This window comes from Homo sapiens, chromosome X (genome assembly GCF_000001405.40).
Source record: "Homo sapiens chromosome X, GRCh38.p14 Primary Assembly".
NCBI lineage: Eukaryota > Metazoa > Chordata > Mammalia > Primates > Hominidae > Homo > Homo sapiens.
Window position 1 is genome coordinate 17798854 of NC_000023.11, and position 22786 is coordinate 17821639.

The 22786-nt window shown below is 47.3% G+C and overlaps 1 protein-coding gene across 11 annotated transcripts in view; it reads right to left on the reverse strand.

Moving 5' to 3' along the window:
- RAI2 (retinoic acid induced 2) overlaps positions 1196-22786 on the reverse strand; it is a 61250-nt gene continuing 39659 nt past the window's right edge. For 10 of the 11 annotated variants that reach the window (NR_033349.2, NR_033348.2, NM_021785.6 and 7 more), the window contains one exon: positions 1196-3181. Coding sequence is in view for 9 of the 11 variants with exons in the window: in NM_021785.6 (NP_068557.4) it covers positions 1565-3157 (1593 nt within the window). In the remaining 2 variants the exon portion in view is untranslated. The remainder of the gene's footprint in view (positions 3182-22786) is intronic. The other variant, NM_001172732.2, reaches the window with a different exon arrangement.

The window sequence follows — 22786 nt, forward strand, 5'->3', positions numbered from 1 at the left end:
GGTGTATGATACAGGGCCAGCTAAAGCTGTAACCCTGTACACGGAGGGCCTGGTAATAAAAGAACAGTCTCACAACTGCTTTTCCTCCTGTTCATATTCCCTGTAACAGCTGGATACATACTAATTGCAAGAAGTGAAAAAAAAAAAAAAAAAAAAAGCTTTAAGTTTAAAAGCAGGCATCAATCATCAGTCTCTTGCCAGCACAGTTTCAGACACAAGTGTGCTGTGCCACCTAGCAGGTCTATTCTAAATGCACATTCACAGTTCCTCCAGTTCCTCATTTGTGTGGGTGGCCTTTGCTGTCAGGGTAGAGCTGCAGTCTCCTTCCACGCGCATCGTTTCTGTCCGTCAAGAAATGGCTTAACCAGGGATTCTCAGCCTCAGCACAACTGACATCTCAGGTCAGATCATTCTTTGTTGGGGTCTAGGGGCTGTCCTGTGTGTTATAGAATGTCTAGCAACATCCCTAACCTCTACCCACTAGATGCCAGTAGTAATCTCTCCCCCCAGCTGCGACAACCAAAAGTGTCTCCAGGCTTTGCCAGATATCCCCCGGGGGTTACAATCACCCCATTTGATAATCACCAGGCTAAACTAGAAAAGAATGACTTTGTCTTCTCTCCCTGGCTCCACCCTCAAAGATCTCTATCCAAGGCTGGGAAAAAGTATGAGCCATCTCTTGATCCACTAGCCTGCGCCACTACTTCTGACTTGCAAGATTTTCAATCATTGAGAACAATGCTCTTACTGCCCTTGAAAAGAAGGGCATTTCCAACTAAACTTTTGGTTGGTGGGAAGGAAGCAGGTTACTTTTTTGTTGTGAGACATTTGTCTTGTCTTACACTATGGAAGGTCCAGGCACAGAATTCTACACACCCAAGAACTATATGAACTGGAAGGAGCCTCAGGCACTTGAAACTCACCTCGCTGTCCCTTTTCTTTGCCACTTATTTATTTATTTATTTTACAAATGAAATTTAAAAAACCCAAGGCCAAAGTGGGAAATGACTTGCTCAAGGTCATCCATATTCCTAACCCTCCTTTTACTGGGGCATAGGGCAATATTTTCCAATATGCCTGAAAAGCTTAGGTCTCTAATCACAGATAACTTACAGCTTTTCACAAGCAAGAGTTTTGGCCAAATTATGCCAGTTAAGGAATGTAAATTTTATAAATGATGAAATACTGCAACCAATTAGTGCAAACAAACATTTATTGTGAAATATTCATCCTACCCTTTATTAGGTATTACATCATCAAAGCACTTTGTGGCAATGAAAATAGCTTTTTTTACCCCTCTAATTCACCCAATATTCCATTAAAGCTGCAAAAAATGTGCAATCTGCTTGAAAAATAGGTTGCTCTTATTTACTCATTTGTGAAAAGTCAAAAATTAAAAAAGAAAATGATACTAGCATACAGGGCCTCTAGAGCCAATTCACCTTTCCATTTCCCAACTACTCCCCAAAATAATTAACAAAGATAATTTGTTTTAAATGCCTTTTTATAAAACCAATGCACCTTTCCCCATATTATAATCATACAAATTTTAAAAAGCCGTTATTTACTTTCTTGGAAAAAAGGTGGCCAGCCGTTGTTTTTTGATTGGGAGCATGTGTATTTCCTGGGAGTTCACTTTCTTTAACTTTATGCTCCGGTTTTTGATGGGTTTCCTAAGGGGCTCTGCATTTCCCATGGACTCTTCCCCTTGGCTGTTGATGTCATAGCCCTGAAGCACGGAGTCTTCTCTTTTGAAGGAGAAGTTTTTGGTGGACACCCCTGAGAGGCCTTTGATCTTGCCACAGAATATGGTAGGCACAGCATCTTCGACAGAGACAATGACCTTGGCCGCCTGGGACTCGCCCACCATCTCAATGTTATTTTCAGCCTTGACTTCGCCGCTGGGGTGGTTGGGCTGGCTGAGCATCTCGGTAGCAGCATCACTGCTGCTGATGTGACTATCCATCATGGCTGGGGCCTCATGGGACGTGGCAGGGGCAAAAGAAATTTCCATGCCACTGGGAAGTTTCTCCATCACTGTGTGACCTGAGCTGTCCACTGATGCACCACTGTCATACAGTGTCTCAGGGGGAGGCTCGGATTTCCGGTGGGCTGCCACTGACAGGTCTAGGGCTGCATCTTCCTGGAAGATTGGGGGACTGACTTCACCAGCCTTGAGCCAGGGCACTGACTTCATGGAGAGATCCAGGGCCTCGTTCTCACTTCCCATCTTAATGACCGTGTGGCGGCTGAGCTGGAAGTACTCCTTAGGCTGGAGGATGTCAAAGGGCTTCAGTTCATCTTTTTCCAGAGGGGTCTGGGTGCCTTTAAAGGGGTGCAGGCCGAAGGAAGATGGTGGCTTGGGGAAACTGGAGCTGAACTTGGATTCAGAACTCTGAGGCATCGGGATGGGGATGGGAATAGGGACTGGCACAGGCAAGGGGACGATTACAGGATACGGCACCAAGAGGGTGGCTGGTGGGACCAGGGGGGACAAGGGGGAGCTAAAAGGCTGTGGGGGCACAGGGGCATAGCCAGGAGGAGGCTGACAGGGTGGGGGCCCGAGAGTGCCCTGGGAGGGAAACAAATTCTGGAGCACAGCTTCAAATGGCAAAGTGGGCTCCTGCGGCTGGCTGGGGATCCTCAGGTCCAGGAGCTGGGGCTGGGCCTCGGGGTCCTCCGCTCCCTGGAAGAGGTTGTTGTGGATGGTACTGGAGGAGCATGGGGCCTCCTGCGGCAGGACCAGAGGGGAGTTGAGGTGCTGAAAGACGTGCTGCTCCAGCACCACGGGCAGTTGCACGGGGCCCTGGGTGGTCATGACGTAGGTGGCATTGCCATTCGGATTGAGCTCTGGTGCGGAGCTTCCCTCCACCTGCATGTGAATGGGCATCACCACTGGGCTCTCCCCGAGGCACAGGGGCTGCAACACAGTGGCCGCCACCTTCAGAGCCATGCCACTCTGAGACTCGGCAGGGGGGTTCAGAATGGATGGGGCTGGCACGGTCACCAGGGCCTTCTTTACCAGGTCAGTGGAGTTGATGTTCCAGGCCTCGGTGGTGATCAGCTGAGCCATGCCATTCTCCAGTCTGTTATTAGCCAAGGCAGGAGGGGAGTCAGTCATGTCCATGGAGAGGTTCTGGGACTGCAGGTCGTCCATCACTCAGCTCTGATGCCACTTGGCCTGCAACACAGAACATACAATATGAATCTTCCTTAAAAGACTATTTATAATTGCCTTAAGAGCTCTCTCACATCTTTAGAAAGTTTCCACGTTTTAGTTAACCAGGGAGCATAACCCATCTCTCTATGTATATGTTCAGGTTATAGATATCTCCTAATATATACAAACACAACCACATGATCCTGTGTGCGTGGAGAACCCCAATTTAACAGATGATTAAGCTATAAATGCAGATGATGTAATCAGTAAATAGCCAAGTGAGGTTAAACCAGGCATTTTTTAAGCCTAATTCTCAGCTTATATGTTTGGCCTTCAACAAAAACGAAGTTTCAGTCCAAGTTGCTATGTCAGACAGTTAAGATATGTAGAAATTTGACTTGTTCAAATTCAAATAAGCAGTGAAGACTTACTTTCCTTTAAGGAAAAAAATAATGCCTTGTCACATGTGAATATGCTATGACTATGGAAAATGGCATTTTAAATACTCTGTAGCAATCATTCTTCCAAAAGAGGTTTGATAAGCACAAGGGTCATTACAGTTGTCTCTCTGTCTCCCTCTGACCAATGACATTCCCATTTCTCCCAGTAACAGCAAAATCCGTTCCCCAGGGCAAGGTGAAGATCGATGATGACTTGCATGAATGGTCATTGGGTCCACTGTCACTTCCCCAATCAGCTCATCTATCTGATCTGTGGCCTCTCCTAATATCTAGCTGCCAAGAGGAAGAGGGCATTGGTGAGCCTAGGGCTGGGGAGATGGAACACTTGTTGGAAACGAAAATCCTCATAGGTCAGGCACACTTTCTCAATGTCCTCGGCACCTCCCACAGACCTCTGGCCACCTCCTGAGAGGCCAAAGGCACCTAGCGCGTGTGCTTCCTGGTGGAAGCAGGGCTGCAGATGCGATAGGGCTCTCCATGGAAACCTGTCCATATTTGGCCTCGTTACCATGGAGAAGGCAGGCACCATGTCTAACTCAGGGATCTGAGCAGCCTTGGAGTCTGGTTGGGCTCAATAATAATTCAATAATCCTCAGTTTCACTGGGCAGGCCTTGGGCAACTGAGATTTTTTACCTCATCTATCCCAACTGCCTAGACTTTAGTCCTGTGGTCAGCTCGTCCTCCTCTCCTCACCCCGAAATTACCAACACAACCTCCAAAGAAAGAGAGGCGGCCCAGCACACCATGGGGCTAGAAATAAACAAACGAGGCTGGGTGCAGTGGCTCATGCCTGTAATCTCAGCACTTTGGGAGGCTGAGGTGGGCAGATCATTTGAGGTCAGGAGTTCGAGACCAGCCTGGCCAACATGATGAAATCCCATCTCTACTAAAAATACAAAAATTAGCTGGGCATGATGTCGCACGCCTGTAGTCCCAGCTACTCTACTCGGGAGGCTGAGGCAGGAGAATGGCTTGAACTCAGGAGGCGGAGGTTGCAGTGAGCCGAGATCGCATCACTGCACTCCAGCCTGGGTGACAGAGTGAGACTCCTTTAAAAAAAAAAGAAAAGAAAAGAAAAGAAATAAGCAAATGATGTCTCACTACAGTAAGGCAGCTTTAACAAATGAACAACTCTGTGGTATTTCCAGGCAATCAGAATGTGTCACATGCACAGAACAAGGAGTTTCTCTGAGGCAGGAGGAGAAGGGGGGAGGGAAAGGATGCTGTGCAAACAACTTTGTGGAGAATGACTGGTGGGCCACACCTTTGGCAGGATCCAGAGCGTGTCTCCCTCTGGAAGCCATGAGGTGACCCAGCATGCTGGCCAGTAACCCCCTTGGGACAGAGTTGGGAGGCAGCCTGGCCCCAGGGAGGCTGAGGGGGCTTGCCCTAGCTGAAGGGTCTGGTTCTTTAGGAGTGAATCCTGATTCAGCCCAGAAGATGCCATGCCTCCAACATGCCTTTTTTTTTTTTTCTTTTTTCTTCTTTCTTTTTTTTTTTGTGAGAGGGAGTCCTGCTCTGCAGCCCAGGCTGGAGCGCAGTGGCGCAATCTTGGCTCACTGCAACCTCTGCCTCCTGGATTCAAGTGATTCTTCTGCCTCAGCCTCCCGAGTAGCTGGGACTACAGGTGCACACCACCATGCCCAGCTAATTTTTGTATTTTTAGTAGAGATGGGGTTTCACCATGTTGTCCGGGATCATCTTGAACTCCTGGCCTCAAGTGATCCTCCCACTTCGGCTTCCCAAGTGCTGGGATTACAAGTGTGAGCCACTGCACCTGGCCTCTAATACACCATTCATTCATGCATGCATGTATGAATTCATTCATTCACTCATCCTGAGTGAAACAGACGAGGTTCTTGTTTTCATGGACATTATACTCTAGTGGAGGCAACACGTCTTTGATCAGAGATCTGCTAGCATGCAAACGCATCAACGTTATGCCAGGAGAGGCATCCACATCAGCAGGACAAATATTTGTTGGCCACTTGCACAAAGCCCCATGAAGGCCCTGAGAACCTAAGGCCAGATCCTTGTCCCTCACAGTGGCCAGAACCCTTGGGGAAGGGTAAGAAAAGGCTGAAGGGAAGCTGCAGTAGGACTGGTGAGGACAAGGGCAGCTACAGAAGTCAAGACATGTTCTGTGCCACATTTGGTCTTCCTGTGGGGTTAGGATTATCCAGCTGTGAGACAGCTTTCTCATAACAGCTGCATCTCTCCACCCTCGCAGAAATGGCAGCTTCTCTCCCTCCCTGTCTGCTTCTCTCAATCCCCTCCCAAAGGAAAGAAGACAAACTTCTGGATGCCTCCTCCACCTGCTCCTTGCACACACCTTCAGCTTAGGTACCAGTTCTCATCATTTCCTGTGAAACCTCAGTCCCTTCCCTGCCTGGCTTTGGTCTAGGCCTGCTAACATTCCCAGAACAGTCCTGCTCAGAAAGTGAAAAGAGGACTTTGCCAGGGCAGGCGGCCTCCCTCAGGCCCCTGTTCCTCCCATGGATGGCAAGAGCTACAACTCATTGAGCATCTACCATTTGCCAGGCCCTCTGTTGAGAACAACCCAGCCAGAGGGGTCTTACAATTATGCCCATTTTGTTGGTGGAAAAACTGATTCCACAGGGAGATTAAATAACTAGCCTAAAGGTACATAAAGGCTGGGCTTCCCAGGCTTCCCTTCGACTGGGAGAGCTGTGAAGGCCACGCCCCTCCATGCATTTTGTTTCCTGGGAAAAGCAGTCCCCACAGCCTCTCCTTCAACACCGAGTGCATGTGCCTGCAGAGGCATGCAGGAAACAGTATGAGAGCATCACATTTCTTCAAAGTGGAGGCCAGGTCCTTCCCAGTAAAGTCATTGAACTGTTGTTCTTTTTTCCCCCACAAGGGGCCTCGTCTGTCCCTCTGGTCACCGGAGTTCCTCCTGTCCTTGGGGACTGCAGCCCGAAGTGGCTATGGTTCTGTTACTGGAGGGCTTGAGGGGCCTCCATCCTCTCAGCCTACTTCTGGTTACTCACCTGTCCCCAGCCTGCCTTCCAGAGACAGATGTCACATGGGTTGGAGGGCATCTCAGCACCAATGAGCTACAGAGAGGCCCTTGCATCCCCTGCTGTGACTCAAGTCTCTGGGAAAAACGCTGAGGCCCAGTGGGATGAAGGACAGAGGACAGGCCAAGGTGTGGGTAGAGGGGAGCAGTATGCAGGATCTCAGGGCAAAGGGGAAAAACCCCTGGCCCAAACCTCACTTCCACCTCCTTCAACAGGACAGCTCCAGATCTGCCTGACTACTCAGCCAAAGCAGGCCTGAGAGTAGCCCTGGGCTTTTCTCTAGAGAGCTGCTGGCCCTGAGACAGGCTTGCCTGCCTCCACCTAGTCCCCACCAAGTATGGCGCTGGCCTTGGGACACCCAGGCAAAGGAACATGAACTTGGCCTTCATCATGCACCCTCCCACCTCCCAGAAAGCCTCGTTCGGTCTTTCTCACTACATCTCCTCCTCTTGCTGTTCAACCTGCCAGCAAGCACCCCACTCTGACTCTGAGTCAGCAGCTGAGGTGGTCTGGGTGCATCCAGTGGGAGCATAGTGGGTGTTGCTGCTGCAGGGGCTAATACTGGAAGCCTCGGCGATGCCCTAAGAATACAAAACTATCTCATGAATTGTGGGTTCAAAGGGTGAGTCTGTGTCCCTGAGGACAAGCCAAGTAGCCAGATAGTGACTGGAGAGAAGGTGGAGGCCCATCTCCCCACTCAGACAAGCTGCTGATTAGCTTGGGCCTAGGGTGGGTGGGGGACCTCTTCAAATCAAGGAGCATCAAAGGAGCCGGTTGATGCTCAAGCCCAGGGGGCATGAATTTCTTCAGAGGTGACAGGGAACATTTCGTTTGCGTTTTGCAAAACATTTTCAAATGGGTTTAAATGAGGGCACCCATCCATTCCACCTGTCCCCATTATCCCCAGGGGTGTGGGAGTGGAGGTCAGTAAACAGTGGCAGTGTGGCTGGGTAGGAAGCAGGCAACCTGGATCTGCAAGTTGCTGGAGACCCTGGAGACCTCACCATCTTGGTTTGCAGCCAGTTGCTAGGGCCTCACCCCCATGTAGCCCATGTGCCCCCTGTATGGAGACAGTGGGGAAAAGACTCAGGGCCCAGGACAGATGAGGAGGTAGGGAGGGACTGGGAGACTAGCTCTGCTTGCAGACTTTTGGGGTGTATTAATCTGTTCTCACACTCCTATAAAGACATACCTGAGACTGGGTAATTTATTATTAAGAAAAGAGGTTTAATTGGCTCACGGTTCTGTGGGCCATACAGGCTTCTGCTTCTGGGGATCAGGAAACTTACAATCATGGCAGAAGGTGAAGGGGAAGGAAGCACATCTTCACGTGGCCGGCAAGAGGTGGGGGGAGGTGCCACACACTTTTAAACAAGCAGATTTTGTTGAGAACTCTATCGTAAGAACAGCAAGGGGGAAGTCCTATGGTCCAATCACCTCCCACTAGGCCCCTACCTCTAACACTGGAGATTACAATTTGCCGTGAGATTTGGGTGGGGATACAAAGCCAAACCATATCATGGGGTCACAGAACTGTTATCTGAACCCCTCATCTAATTATTGCAAAGATCTAATTATACCAGAGGCCGGTCTCCCTAGGGTCTGACCATTAGCCTGGAGCTCTCTCCCACCTCAGCCTTCACCCAGCCAACTCCTGCTCATCTGTCTGACTTAAGGGGTTCAGCTCTAAAGTTGCTTCTTCTGAGATCATCCCCCACCCTCACTGGGCTCCCAAAGGACCCCAACTTGACTTTGTCTAGTCCTGACTCTGCCCAGCCCATACTGGGATTTCTTATTTACTTCTTTCTCCAGGAGCAGGGGATAGTCTCCCACCTCATATCTGGCACTAGTAGGTGCTGAGGAAATATCTTCTGGATGAATTGGTGCACAAATGAACGCCTAAGCCTTCCTGAGCCTGGTGTTCTCATCCTCACCCTCTTGTCGCAGGCACACCATTTATACACTCATGGAGTGTCAAGGTGGGCAGGGACATTAAAGCTGACATCTCAAGTCTCTTGCCGACTCTTTTTATTGATGAGTAAGCTGCAACTCAAAAAGGCTGACTAAAACTTACACAAGGCCACTTCTTACAGAGGTCACCAGGCTCTTGTTTCGGGAAGAGCAGAGGGTCAGACCCGCAGGTGCCATGGTGGGAGAACATGGCAGCCACTCACCTTCACCAGCCACGGGAGGCTCTGATGGGTCAGTGTTAGATGCCCGCAACCAACAAATAGGTGGATTTTAGGACTTGGAGAATAGCCTAAATTAGAGGTCAAGTATTTTGCTTTTTAAATTAAGCCATCTATCAAGGTAAGTTTCTTCCCCTACAACAATCACATCTTAAAACATATGCTGAAAATTTTCTCAAGATATGGGTTTTCCAATTGTAAAATATCAACAGCTTTGGTTTCTATGGAGCATGGAGACGGCTATCAATTATTTCTAGTCAAAGTAGGACTGTCTACCCAAGCTTGTCCAACTGGCGGCCCAAGGGTCGCATGCGGCCCAGACGGCTTTGAATGCGGCCCACACAAATTTGTAAACTTTCTTAAAACATTATGAGATTTTTTTTGCAATTCTTTTTTTTATCTCATCAGCTATCATTAGTGTATTTTATGTGTGGTCCAAGACAATTCTTCTTCCAATGTGGCCCAGGGAAGCCAAAAGATTGAATACCCCTGGATGCCCTTGTTGCTCAAAGTGGGGTCCTTGGAGCAGCAGCAGCAGCAGCACCCAGGATCTTGCTAGAAATACAAATCTCAGGCCACAGCCCAGACCCACTGAATCAGAATCTGCCTTCCAAACAGGGCCCCAGGAGATGTGTATGCACATTAAAGTCTGAGAAGTGCTGGTCTACCACTGGTTCTCAGATTTTGCTATTCATTGGAGTAATCTGGAACTTAAAAAAAAAACCATGCCTAGGTCCTACCCCTAAGACTCTGATTTAATTATTCTAGGATGCAGCAGGTGATTCTAATGTACAGTGAGGTTGCGGACCCTTAATCTAAAGGCCAGAGCACACGACTGCTGGTCTGCTGACCTTCTCAATCGCCCATCTTCCTTCTTACTTCCCAGAAAAGACTGAGGCTATCAACACACCAAACTCCCTCCTCTTCCCCCCCGGCCCCCGCAGTGTCTCCCCATGTGCCCTCACCCCCAGGAAGACGTGAGATGGCTCTCCCTCTTGCAAGGCTGACTTCCCAGAGACCTCTGCTAAGAATCTTGCCCCTTCCATCAATGCCCTATTCTGAGTCTATTTTGTGCTTTCCATTCAGTACTTAAACCAAACCTTCAATGACTAACCTAATTCTGCATAAAAATCACCAGCCACTCTCTATGAGCCAAGTAAGAAAAGCATAATTTTCATCATTTAATTCTACATGTACATGGTTTTACCATTCGGGACTTGAGATGCACTAAATATCTAAGAAGTAATTCCAACTGGGTAACAACTGGTTTTCCTCTCCCCATAGGGTATAATAATTGTCAATTACTTGCCCCAGTGGTTAAATTTTCTAAGCTTTAAACATCAGTACAGGTCCTTTTTACCAAAGCTGTGAACATAATTACCACATGAATGTAGTCTCAAATTGGTTAAAATATGAGGAATACACAAAATAGTCACCTGCCTTATGGTCGACTGCCTTTTACATCCAGAGGTCTACACAGCCCTCTGAAGGGAATATGAATGCCCAGATTAGCTTTACAGATGAGTTCCCTGACACGCTAATTCATTTATGAAAACAGTAGTGACCACAAACATTGCAACTGGGACTAAACTTCATGAGGACGGACAGTGGCTACGGGGAAGATCTGTTAGGGAGGACAGAGTACAAATATTATCTCTGATCTGATATTTGTGAAAAATAGGAGAAGTGGAGCCAAGCGTCAGAAACTGGCCATAAACAGCAGGAGGGCCCAAGGTCTTCCCAGTGAGAGGAGGTAAGGTCATGCCCTGAGGTATCATAAAACTTATTTATGTTTGTTTTATCATCTAATCTTTTTAATTCCTGTTTTTTATTTTATAGTGTATGTAATAAATATAGGAAGGCATATAAATCTAATTATATATGTGTGTGCATGTGTGTGTGTGTTAAGGGGAGTGCTCAAAATTTTTTTTTTCTAATAGGAGTGTGAGAATGAAAACGTTACAACTCAGCAGGAGAAATGAAGCTCTCAGGGCCCAGGGAGACTTCCAGGGTGCCCCTGCCTTAACAAGTCTTAGTGTTACTGGCCCAACCTACCCCTTCTGGGTTTTTTTGTGTTTTTGGGGGGAGAGTCTCACTCTGTTGCCCAGGCTGGAGTACAGTGTGCAATCATTACTTACTGCACCCTCAACCTCCAAGACTCAAGCAACCCTCCTGCCTCAGCCTCCTAAGTAGCTGGGACTACAGGTGTGTGCCACAATGCCCACCTGATTTTTACTTTTATTTTTGTTGAGACTGGAATCTCACTATGGTACCCAGGCTGGTCTTGAACTCCTGGCCTCAAGTAATCCTCCCACCTCGACTTCCCAAAGTGCTGGGATTACAGGCATGAGCCACCGTGCCCGGCCCCACCCCTCTTGTTTTGAAGAACAGGAACCTGAGGCTCAGAGGAGAAGTGACTTGCTCAAGTTCACACAGCATAGAGTACACTGACTCCCAGACCCGTTCTCCTTCCTTAAAGGCACATTACCCCACCTGTTGCCTCTGTTTCACATTTCAAAGGATGTTGAGGAGCACTTGAGTTTAACACACGAGCTATAGAGTCAGCACAGTCAGTCACCCAAGATTAGAACATCTCTATTGGAACCAGCATCTAACGCCAAAGTATGTGGGATGGCTTTATTCAACCAACAAAATGTCAAAAAGTTTGACAGGTGAGGAGCTTGCTCAAAAAAAGAACACCCCCATGCCTTGACTCAGTGATATCCAAAAGATAAGTCATTGAAATGAAGAGATTCAGGACACACATGAACTTTTCATGACTGTTGGAATGTTGTTTTATACATCTGGGACTCAGTTTCCTCTTTTGTAACATGGGGGACTGCCCTACTCTCACTCAGGCCTCCTTGGAGCCAGTGGTGCCTGCTGGGGAGGAGTCAAACCTAGCCTCCCAGGAGCTGCCGGAGGAGGAATTGCTGTGGGCCCCAAAGGATGGGCAAGTGGGAGCACCAAGGAGGAATTGGAGGGAGGACGCCACCAGCTCCCAGGCCTGGTTTTCCAAGCCCCTACTACCTTCAGCCTGCCCGCAAAGGATCTATGATGGGTTTGGGGGCCCACACGGGCCTGACTGCAGGGCTACAGTATGGAACTAGATTTGTGGCCATTCATTTTTATTCATTCTTTCAAAAATGATGTGGGCACCTACTGTGTGCCAGGCATGCATCTCTTATTCCTCCAACCTGATACCACTTTCTTTGTAGGCAGGTTGCCATCTCTCTTGGCTCCATTCTGAAGATATTAACCAAATCCATATTATCCCAGGATTATCTGCTTTTAACAGGGCTCCTTTAAGGCTCACATTTCCTGCAGAGGTAAAGGAGTAAGTCTCTAAGGTAAGAATGCCAGTCCCTAGACAGCTGGAAGGGGTGATATTCATGCAAGGATCTCTCTAAGGAAAGGAACAAATGTATATTTTCTAGAGATGGCTGCTCCTGATACTAACAGGAATGAACTGCCTTCCTCAGGTCTTGGCAAACCTCAGCATCACAGAAGAAAATCATAAAGAGCTGCTGGTGGTGGTAGGGAACACTCACCTGGACAGGGGACTGTGAGAGTCAGCAAGTGCCCATCCCTGCATTGGGCCAATGCCCTACAGTTCGGTTGGACACCCAGAACCCCAAGCACCCTCAGGTGCTGCTGCTGGAACAGCCATCTCATGCAGGAGCTCAGGTCACGTTTAAGGTCTTGGGCCAAGGTCTATCATCTTAAAGAGCTACGGTTTTTGGACATTTTTCTGGCAACAAAGAAACCTCTTAAATTTGGAACAAAGAGGAGGAAAAAACCTGCCTCTGGAAGAGAAAATACTTCTAATTAGATTGAGATACAAAGGTTAAATTTTTGTTCTGGGAAAAAGACTGTTTATAATCCTGTGTCATTAGCAGGACATTTTCCAGAGACCAGTGTGCCAGAAATAGACCCTCTGAGGGGTCACTGGAAGGAAGGGGTGCAGATTTCTGAAGTACAAAGAACTGGAGTTCAGATTTTCCCCTTCTTCTAATGCATGTGAATCCCTTGCCACCCTTTGGCATGGAGACAGTGTCAGCCTCACCCTGGGCCCTGGGCCCCCTATGAGAGTGGTTAGGAGTATAAGCTTTGAACTTAGACAGGCCTAGGTTCAAACTTCAGCTCTGCCTAATTTTGCTAGCTGTGTGACCTGGGGCAAGTAAGTTCTCAGCCTCAGTTTCTCTCTGTGTAAAATGATTAAAAAAAAAAACCTGTCACATTGGGTGGTTGTAATGATTAAAGGAGATAAGCTAAGTGAAGTACTTGGCACAGTGCCTGACACACAGAAAGTGCTCAGTAAATCATGGCAATTATTGTATTGTCATCATCATCACTGGTACCATCATCAATGTCATTAGCATTATTGTTGTCAGCACTGTCGATACAGTCTTCATCTTCACCATCATTCTCATTGTCAGTGCCATCATCATCATTGTGCCATTGGCATCATTGGCATCATCAGATCCACCGGCCATATTTCTTGTGAGCATCTTGAGTAGTATCACCCATGCTCCCTTTGCACCTGAATGGCTTTATTCATTCGCAACCCTGTTTGTTCAAAGATTCATGTAAAAATCAGCTACTAGGAACTAAGAAGGCACTTACCATAAGCTTGGTGTTACACCTGACGGGAAGGTTTCCAGGCCAGCCCACAAAAACCCACCTAACACCCAACATAGCTGAAATGAGCATTTGAAGTGAAAACAGAAAACAATGCTCTCCCAATGTTAGAAATTAAATATAGTGGGAAGACAAATAAATACACAAATCTGTTTCTCATTCAGACTGAAAGCCTGGGGGAGAAAGAAAAGGTGGCCAGAACCTTTTGTATCTTGAATATGGACTCATGAGCACTTTCAAGGGTTCGGAAGTTACTGCTGATTGACCGCACATAATTTCACTTCATATCCTTCAGTTTTCCTTCTCCTTTGCACGAGAGCTTAAGTAGCTCTCCTCTCCTACTTTTCAGTGGCGATGAAGCTCATTTTCTCACTCACAAAAACATGGAAGAAGTGGAAGCGGAGAGGATGAGGGTAAGGATAAGAGGGAGAGAGAAAGCAAAGAGCCTTTTTGAGGTAACTAGGCAAGAGTCGAAGGAGAGAAGATTCAAAAGTTCATGTAGGTCCAAAGGAAAGATTGGTTAGCTATAACAGAAGAGTGAAAGAACACAGAGAAACTGAGGAAAGCTGTGAGGAAAACACTGAATGAGAGTTACTTAGCTGGCCACAAGGGGATGCTGTAACCTACAATAGCTTGGTTGCAGGACAGCAGGGTGGAGGGAGAGACAGGACTGGAACTTCTTAGCACAGTGAGGACATGGTAAAAAAAATAAAATATAGCATTGTTTACAAGTCTGAGTACTGCAAGTACTTAGGGAAGGTGCTCCAAATTTGGGCAGAACTTCTCCTATGCCTCTAAAATCATCAAGCACATCCCCTTGTGGCTTGGCTGAGTTATCAGTCCCAGGAAAAAAATCTAAATGTACCTTCTTTCTGTGTCTAATATTTATTTTTGCCTACCCGCCAGCTCCTCCAATCTCTCCTTGGATAGTCAGAATTATTAGATTTCTCCCATCAAAATTGGGTTTTCCAGAAAGAAGCTGATAAACTCATTCTCAATGAGGTGCATGACTGATAAGGCTGAAGTATTATGTTCCTTTATTGGTATAATAAAGATAATCCAGCCAGTAATAAAGCTATGGACAAAGAAATGAAACTATAATTGAGTCATTTCAGATACTGGTCATGGGGAGGAACCTTCCTAGCTGTCTTGAAATCTCTCCATAGAGATAAGAACCGACAACTATGATTAAGTTTGCGGGGCCCATTGGAAGGCACCTGAGATCAAATAAAGGGGGCAGGGGCGTGACCTTGACCCTTAAGCACTCAGAACTAAGGAAGGACATGAATGTGAGTCAATTATTCATTCCTTTACAGACACAATCAGCAAACACTTATTGCTCACCCAACATGAACCTCCTGAGTACGTGCCTCCCTGGTGCAGAGATTTTAGCAGCATCCAAAGTTGTCCAGGGCCCTGTTACTGAACTGGCTACCTCCTGAAACGCTGGTTTCTGTCTTACCAGGTTTCCATGCAGAAGTTAGGGCTCTCAAAGGACTGCACTCCCATGCACAACACCCTACTGCAGCGCTACAGCCACAATGGCAACTTCATGACCATCACCTATTATGTGCTTTGAATCATTACTAACGATGGTGATGAACAGGGCAAGGGGAGTGAAGAGAGGAGGCTGTTGGGTTTTGGTGAACTCAACTAGCTAGTTGTCTTAGCTTGGGCTCCCCCACAAACAGACCCTGAGGCAAGGATTAACTGAAAGTAATTTATTTGGGAGAAGATCCCAGACAACACCAGTAGAGGAGTGAAGTGGTGAGACAGGGAAAGCAAGGAAGCCAATTTATCAAACAAGTTACCACTGTGGGCAACTGAAGCTCAATTCCACTGGGGAGACCTCAGAGTCATCTCAACCGAGAGGCTAGGAAGTTGGGCTGTTTATTCACCCGCCCCCATCCATCACTGGCCAAGGGCTGCTCCTGGAGGATGTAGTCATTCCTTGGCACTTCCAGCTAGCCCAGCATGCAGATCTAGTGTGCTCCTGAGACAAAAACCAAAAACCAAAAACTCACACCTTTAGGGAGCATCATGGATGTTTGCAGTAAGTAGCATTTGGTGTATAAGAGGCCAGTCTGGGCAGGAAATGGCAGGACACCGACAAATGTCTGCTACACCAGCCATGGCCTGGAAAGTCTCAATGCTTATGTGAATATCGAAATGTCATTAATTTAGGCCACCATGACCAAATGTTTCCCCAGTTGGTGGTACCTTCTGTAACCCCTGTGAAGAAGACACTCCTTTATAATAACAATGCTCACACTACAGGGGAATCAGCTCAAAAGGGGTGTGACTCAAGATCTTATAAAAAAAACAAGACACACGAGGGGGCCAGAGATGACTATCTTTCCAAAAGCAAAACGTTCAAGAGATGGTCAGCATAGCTAATGTGTTCCTTTGCTAAAATATAACTGGGGCCCTCCAGAAAGTTCTTTGAATCATATTTGTGCTGGCTGGAATGCAAGATGTTCCTGGGATGAGTCACAGAGGGAGTTTCTTTTCTGGTGATCTTGTGTTCCAACTCGGGGACCAAAAATCAATAAATAAACACTACTTCACTTCATCAGCTGCATGCTGCCTAATAATAATAATAATAATAATAATAATAACCTCGACCCGAGAAGTACAGACAATGCAGGAAAGAGAGGGTGAAGAGTACTCATCTTTTAGACAGGGAAGCTTCTTTCTGGAATTCTGTTTTGTCAAAAGCAGAACAACATCCTCCGCAGAATCTTAGGGTTGGTGAGGCTTTTGAAGTCCCTAAAAACTCACTGTATGTGTCCTAAAGCAAGTATCATGGTTGGAGCTAATATAGCATAAACAATACGAAGTTGGGGTGGGGGAAGGAAAAAGATCGGCTGTATAACATCTGGCTAGTTAGCAATAACGATTATAGGTATTATTTCCTATTTTATTGGGGGAAGAGTTCCAGAATGCATGTGTTTGCACACATACATGTGCACACGTGCACACACACACACACACACACACACACACACACACACACAGAGTGGCCAAGTAGGAGTGAAGCCACCTGTTGTCCCTCTAATAGTCAAGGGGGATCCTTAAATCAGGATTCTCCCTCCTCACCTGTTCCACCTCAGGTATTTTTTTCCCTCTGAATTCCAGTCATCAAATCTTTATTGTTGCAGCTGACCTGTGAACTGGACCTTGCCACATGAGTAGGATTTTGGCGCAGGAGATGGTGGAATGGAGGAGGGTTTTCCAAAAGTGCAGGACAGAAGGAAAGGCAGAAGAGGACAGGTGTGTCTGGGGCAGGCTAGTAGGTTAGGTGCCTGAAGCCCAGGGCTGGTGAGGCTTAGCGGAGAGTCAAGAGTGCTTCAAACATTAGAGGGGTTATCTATTAGGTTCATGCAAAAGTAATTGCGGTTTTTGCCATTCCTTTCAATGGTAAAAACTGCAATTAATTTTGCACCAACCTAGTAGCTCTTTTAAAGGGTGTTCAGAATCACCCATCAATTAACCTTGTGCCCTAAAGGACTGACAACTCAACCGACACAATCTTGATGTTCTCTCAGGCCCTGACGAGCAGGAAGCCATCAATTCACTAGTGAGCCATTAGGTTGGGAGGAAAAGATAAAACCGTTTAATTTGCAGGGCTTTGCTAGCTCCTCCTCCTCCTCCTCCTCCTCTTTCTTGTTCTTTCTTTCTTTCTTTCATTCTTTTTCTTTCTCTCTCTCTCTCTCTCTTCCCCCCACCCCCACTTACTCCCTCTCACACGCACACTGACAAGTTGATAATAAACCATTTACTAAGCATTTACCATGCTCCCCACTAGGTATTTCACATTTATTTTCTCATCTCAGTTTCTAAGCATCCCCAGCAGACTGGTACCACCTTGGTGTGACTGGGTTTGTTGGATTGTTGCTTCCCATCCCGCCAACTCCCCACCCCCAGGAACTGAGCTGTGAATCCCCGGGAATGGTTGTTTTGATGGGAGGGAGGGTCAGAGCTTTCCAGAACATGCACAACGTTCACTGCAGGGAAGGCACTTCTGGAGGAGATGGAAGAGAGACAGCAAAGGAGCAAAGGTTCCTGGTTGCGTGCAGAGAGCAGGTGGGAGTAGAGAAAGGCAGGAAGGAAGAAGTAGAGATGTCTTCGGTCTCTGACCAGAACCTAGGATTTCTCAGCCTGCATCTGCACCTCAGGCAGGTCTGCCTAGCTTTGCTGTCTTGGCCCAGCCCTGCTTGGACTTCCCTCTCCACCATTACCACTGCAGCTAGCGAATATTGGCCCATGAAGGACACAGCTTGAAATAGGTGCTCCCTTTTCTTTTTGGAGCTCAATTCTCACTTCCCATGCCTCTGGTCCAGCTTGCATCCCAGGCAGGGGTTCATTCCCGTGCTTCCCAGAAATATTTCATCTGTGGCTGACTGGCCAGCTGTTCACCAAACCCATCTCATCTTCTTCCTGGACTACATTTTCCAGCCTCCCTTGCAGTTGGGTGTGGCCATGTGCCTGAGTTCTAGCAAAGGGAACGTGAGTTGAAAGTGAGGGGCACCACTTCCAGGCCTGGATCCTACAAAGCTTCCTTCCACATGTGATGCTCCAACCCTTTTCCCCTTCCCCTCAGCTTGATGCAAAAGGACCTTTTAGAAGCTCCCTGTTGAAGATAGTGGAGCCACAGGATGGAAGGGCCTGCATGCCTGAATCACGGCTTGCAGGGGGAAGGGCCGCCTGCCATCAGGAAAAACCATTTGGGGCTTTAAGTGAGTGAGAAATCAACTTCTATTGTGTTTGAGCCACGGTACTCTTGCAATGTGTCAGTAAGCAAAGCTAGCATTACCTTAAGTAATGCAGAGCTTCCTGGGACCCACCCTGTGCACAGTGCTGGGGGCAGGCAGGCTTCTCTCTGCTTGTTGGGAGCTCCCACTCTTTTACTTCCACCAAGCTCAGAGCACCCCAGAACCCACTGGCTTTCATACCAGTGGCTTTCAAACCAGAACCTTAGAAGCAGCCCAAGTACTCACAGCCCAATTCCAAGCTTCCACGTGCTAGCTTTTCTGCAGTAAATTCACTGAACACCCTTGGCTGCTCTTCCTGACTTGAATCAGTGTATTTACATGGGGTCAGGACCATTCTTTGCTCTGTAACTGCATAAATATCCACTGAAAGAGTCTGTTTCATTGGCATTCACAGAGCTGGCAGGGATAAGGGAGCTGCCTCCAGGGAGCAGGAAAAGGCAGGGTTTTCAGCAGCTTCACTCCCTGGAGCCCCACAGCTGCTCAGGTGGCCCTCACCCATGTGAGAAGGTGGGGGTTGTGGGAGGGAGAAGCAGCAGGTCCCTGGCACAACACAGGCAAACATACCTGGGAAGTTGGCACACCTGGCTTCTCGCCAGAGGAATCTGCTAGGACTGCAACCCCCTTATCTCCTTGTACCCTTTGATGGTTTGCTGGTTTGCAGAGCAGGGAGGCCTGGATTTCTACCTTCTCCCCACACTGGATTTTCTATAGGAAAGGTCCCTGTAGATAGTCCTTTAGGAGAGTTAGCATCTATGGCTCAAGAACCTAGGGCCAGCTTTCTCCCTTGGTGCCCTATATAATTGATTTTCTAGGCAAAGACTGCCCATTCAAAAGCATCCTCCTCCTGCACTGGGTTCTTCTCCCAAATGCTGGTTCTAAACACACTGGGTCCTTGCCATCTTGGAGTGACCAAACTGACACCATGGGGGCTCTTGTGTGCAAAGGGCCCATCCAAGTATCTTCTGTAACCTTCACAACCACCTGAGGAGGTAAGCAGAGATTGCCCCTATTTTATAGATCAAGAACCCCAGACCCACCTCAAGCCCTGCAATAAACGTCAGAGCTGACTTGAACCCAGCCTCCCACCCCCTAAACCAAGGTTGATAAAATTCTCCCTAGGCCTAAGCTCTCTGGCTCCAGAGGTACATGACTCAGGGCTATGGTGTCTGTAACTTAAAATACACTGGCACCTACAGTGGGACATTTTCTGTCTGACTTAGGTGAACCCCTAACCCAGTTAGCCACCATTCTGCTAGCAAGTGCACACCCCATGGAGGGGAAGCTCAAGTTCTAATCTGGAAGCTCCCATCCTGAGGCTGCTACTGGAGTTCCAGTTATCTCTTCATCTCCATCAATACTCAAGAGCACCAGGAATGCTAGAAATGTGTGTTTTTTTTTTAAGTGGTGAAATTGATGGCTTGCTCTTTAGCATGATGGCTATTTTTAAAAAGGGTAAAATTCATAATACTCAATTTCAAGATATACGGATTGGCTGAAATATTTTAGAGGCAGGCTTCACGCTTGTGAGGACATGGTTGGAGAATCCAGGAAAGCCCATAGCTGGCACTTCCAGGGATGGCTCCCAATGGTTCTGATGCTTGCCACCTAACTGGTTCCATGCCTGGCAACTGGATTTTGGAGGATTTCCAGTTGCCTATGCCAAATAGACGGTAACAAAATTCTGCCTCGGAAATGTTGTCATATCTGCCTTGAATGGTCAGAGCAGCTGAGAGGACAAGCCGGCTGGGACTCCCTGAGCAGGCTCACGGGCTGTTCTGTGCCTGCCGGCTGCTTACACGTTAGACGATCAGTGTCTGTGTGGCGTGCCACACCATTTGCCCTGAGACTTGTCCTGTGGCTATCACAGTGTGATTCAGAGTGTTCCCTGCGCAGGGGCCCTCCTCTTCTCCACTCTGACTCTCTTGCTGGCCTCCTTCCCCTTCCCTAGTTCCCCGCTCTAGGGCTTCGGCCTTGAGCTTGCCCTGAGGCAGCCCACAGACAGCCCTCAGGGCTGGAAAGACTCTGCTTTAGGGACAGGGATGATTAGTAGAAACCTCCTGTCCCTAAACATTTAACACCTGGTTTCCCTCCTATGGGACCTTTTCAGTGTCTGAGCTGGCATTGACTGACATGCTGGAAAATTCTTTAAAATGTCCTTAAAAAACAACTAAGCAACCATATCTCATCCATTACAACAGCTAAACATTTAAAAGACTAGAAACACCAAAAGTTGGTGAGGCTATGGTGCAAGTGAAACGATTGTCCACCACTGGTCAATGGCACCACCACTTTGGAGAACTGTCTCACACCTTCTAGAAAAGTTCAGTAACTACCTGCCCTGTTGTCAGCCATTCCACTCCTGGGTATTCTCCCAAAAGAAATGAAAACCTATATTCATAAAAGACTTGTACTCAGATGTTCATTGCAGTCCTATTCATGAGAACCACAAAATGGAAGCAACCTAAATGTTGGTCAACAGGTAAATGCCACACCCAAACTGTGGAATACTACTCAGCAATAAAAAGCAATGCACTGCTGCTACAGGTAATGGCACAATTGCATCTCAAAACCACCATGTTGAAGGAAGGAAGCCAGATACAAAAGTGCACATGCTGTAAGATTTCATTGACGCAAAGTCGAAAAACAGGCAAAAATACTTACAATGCTAGAAATCAGAAAGTGGTTGCTCCAGGGAGGGAGGAGAGGGAATGAATTGGAAAGGAGCCTGAAGGGCCTTTTCTGGGGTGACAAGACTGTTTTATAGCCTCTTTCAGGTGGTTACAAAGGTGTGTACAAAATGTATCCATCTGACCACTTATGAATTTAGGTTAATTATCCCTTGATTCAAGAAAAGAGATATTAAAAATACTATTGAATAACCACAGAAAGGAGAAAAACCCTCAGTGGTTCTGCATGTGTGCATTGTGGGTTTTCACCACTACTGAGCCCAGTGTGGAGAGGGGAGCTGCAGTGAAGACTGTTGGTTAGCTGGTGAGGACACTTCTCTGGGCACCTGCCAGGAGGCCCCTTACAAAGGAGGCAGCAACATCAGCCCCCAAACACAAACACTCAATGAAATAAAGCAACAGGGGCCCTGAGGAAGCTGGCTTGAGAGTGTGGGATAGATAGCAGGCTTTGAGCCAAAACCACTTTCCAAGAAATGCCAATGTTTTTGTATTTGGGAACGGAGAGGGAGTATTAAGGCAAGCAAGAGCCAAAATGTGTTGGTCTTTGGACAACAATTGTGCTCAACTGAGGGGGCCCTGTGGGAGAGACTTCAAAGTGCTGCTACTGAGACCTCCTCTGTGGGTCTCTGGGATGCGGCACCCATAAAAGCTCCGACTGAAGTGGAAAGTCAGAAGTTCCTTAAAGGCAAAGGCCTCCTATTTTGCATGCTGGAGAGGAATATTCTATTTCCCTAGTAAGAGGCTGGCCAAAGTCACACCCATACACCTTCAAATAGCCAGCAGAAGCTTGTGCTCTATGGCACAGGAATGAGCTTGTGAGTCAAGCCTGCACACATATCCTGGTTCTGACCTCTTAAGAACTGTGTGGCCTTGGGAAAGTGACTCGGCCTCTCTGAGCTGCAGTTTCCTTGCCTGCAAAATGGGGAAAATGACACCTACTACTGGCAAAGTAGAAACTGCCTGAAGCCTAGTGAATGCTGAACACAGAATCATATTTGGGCTCCAAGGGTCTTTGCAGATTGTCTATGCCAACCTCTCAGCTGAAGAAGGAATCCTCTCCAGCCAAATCAGCATTCTTTTGTAAAAAAAAAAAAAAATAGAGACATTTAGAGACAGGGTCTGACTCTGTCACCCAGGCTGGAGGGCAGTGGGGCAATCATAGCTCACTGTAGCCTCCAACTCCTAGGCTCAAGAAATCCTCCCACCTTAGCCTCCCAAGTAGCTGGGACTATAGGCGTGAGCCACTGTGCCCAACCTTAAATTAGCATTCTTTTTTTCTTTTTAATTTTTGGATCCGAAGTGTACCGAATTTGCATAATCATTATCCTTGGATCATGACAATGTTCTATACATGGTCCACTTTTTTGGTTTTATTCTAAAAATTGTTTCTTTTTAATATTATCCAATTTAAAATAATAAAATAAACGTGTGAACTGTCCCCCGACTCAACAACATGTAGGTCTGTCGCTGGACTTTCCAGTCTATTTCATCAGTCCCTCTGTCCACCCCTGTGCCAGCACCATGTTGTCTTCTTATACTTTCTGATGGTGCTAGGCACTAAGAAGAAAGTCAATCAGAGTAAGTGGACTGAGAGTGACAGGGAGCAGGGTGTGGGGAAGGGCCTGCTTTGAAGAGGGTGATCAGGGAAGGCCTCTTGTTGAGCAAAGATCTGAAAAAGGAAAGGAGACACCATGGCATCATGGCAAAATGACATTCCAGCACTCTAAGGAGGTGTGTGTGTGTGTTTGTGTGTGTGTGTAAGAGAGAGAGAGAGAGACCGCGAGAGAGAGAGGTTGGAGAAGGGGAGGAGAGGAGCTAACAAATTTCAGAG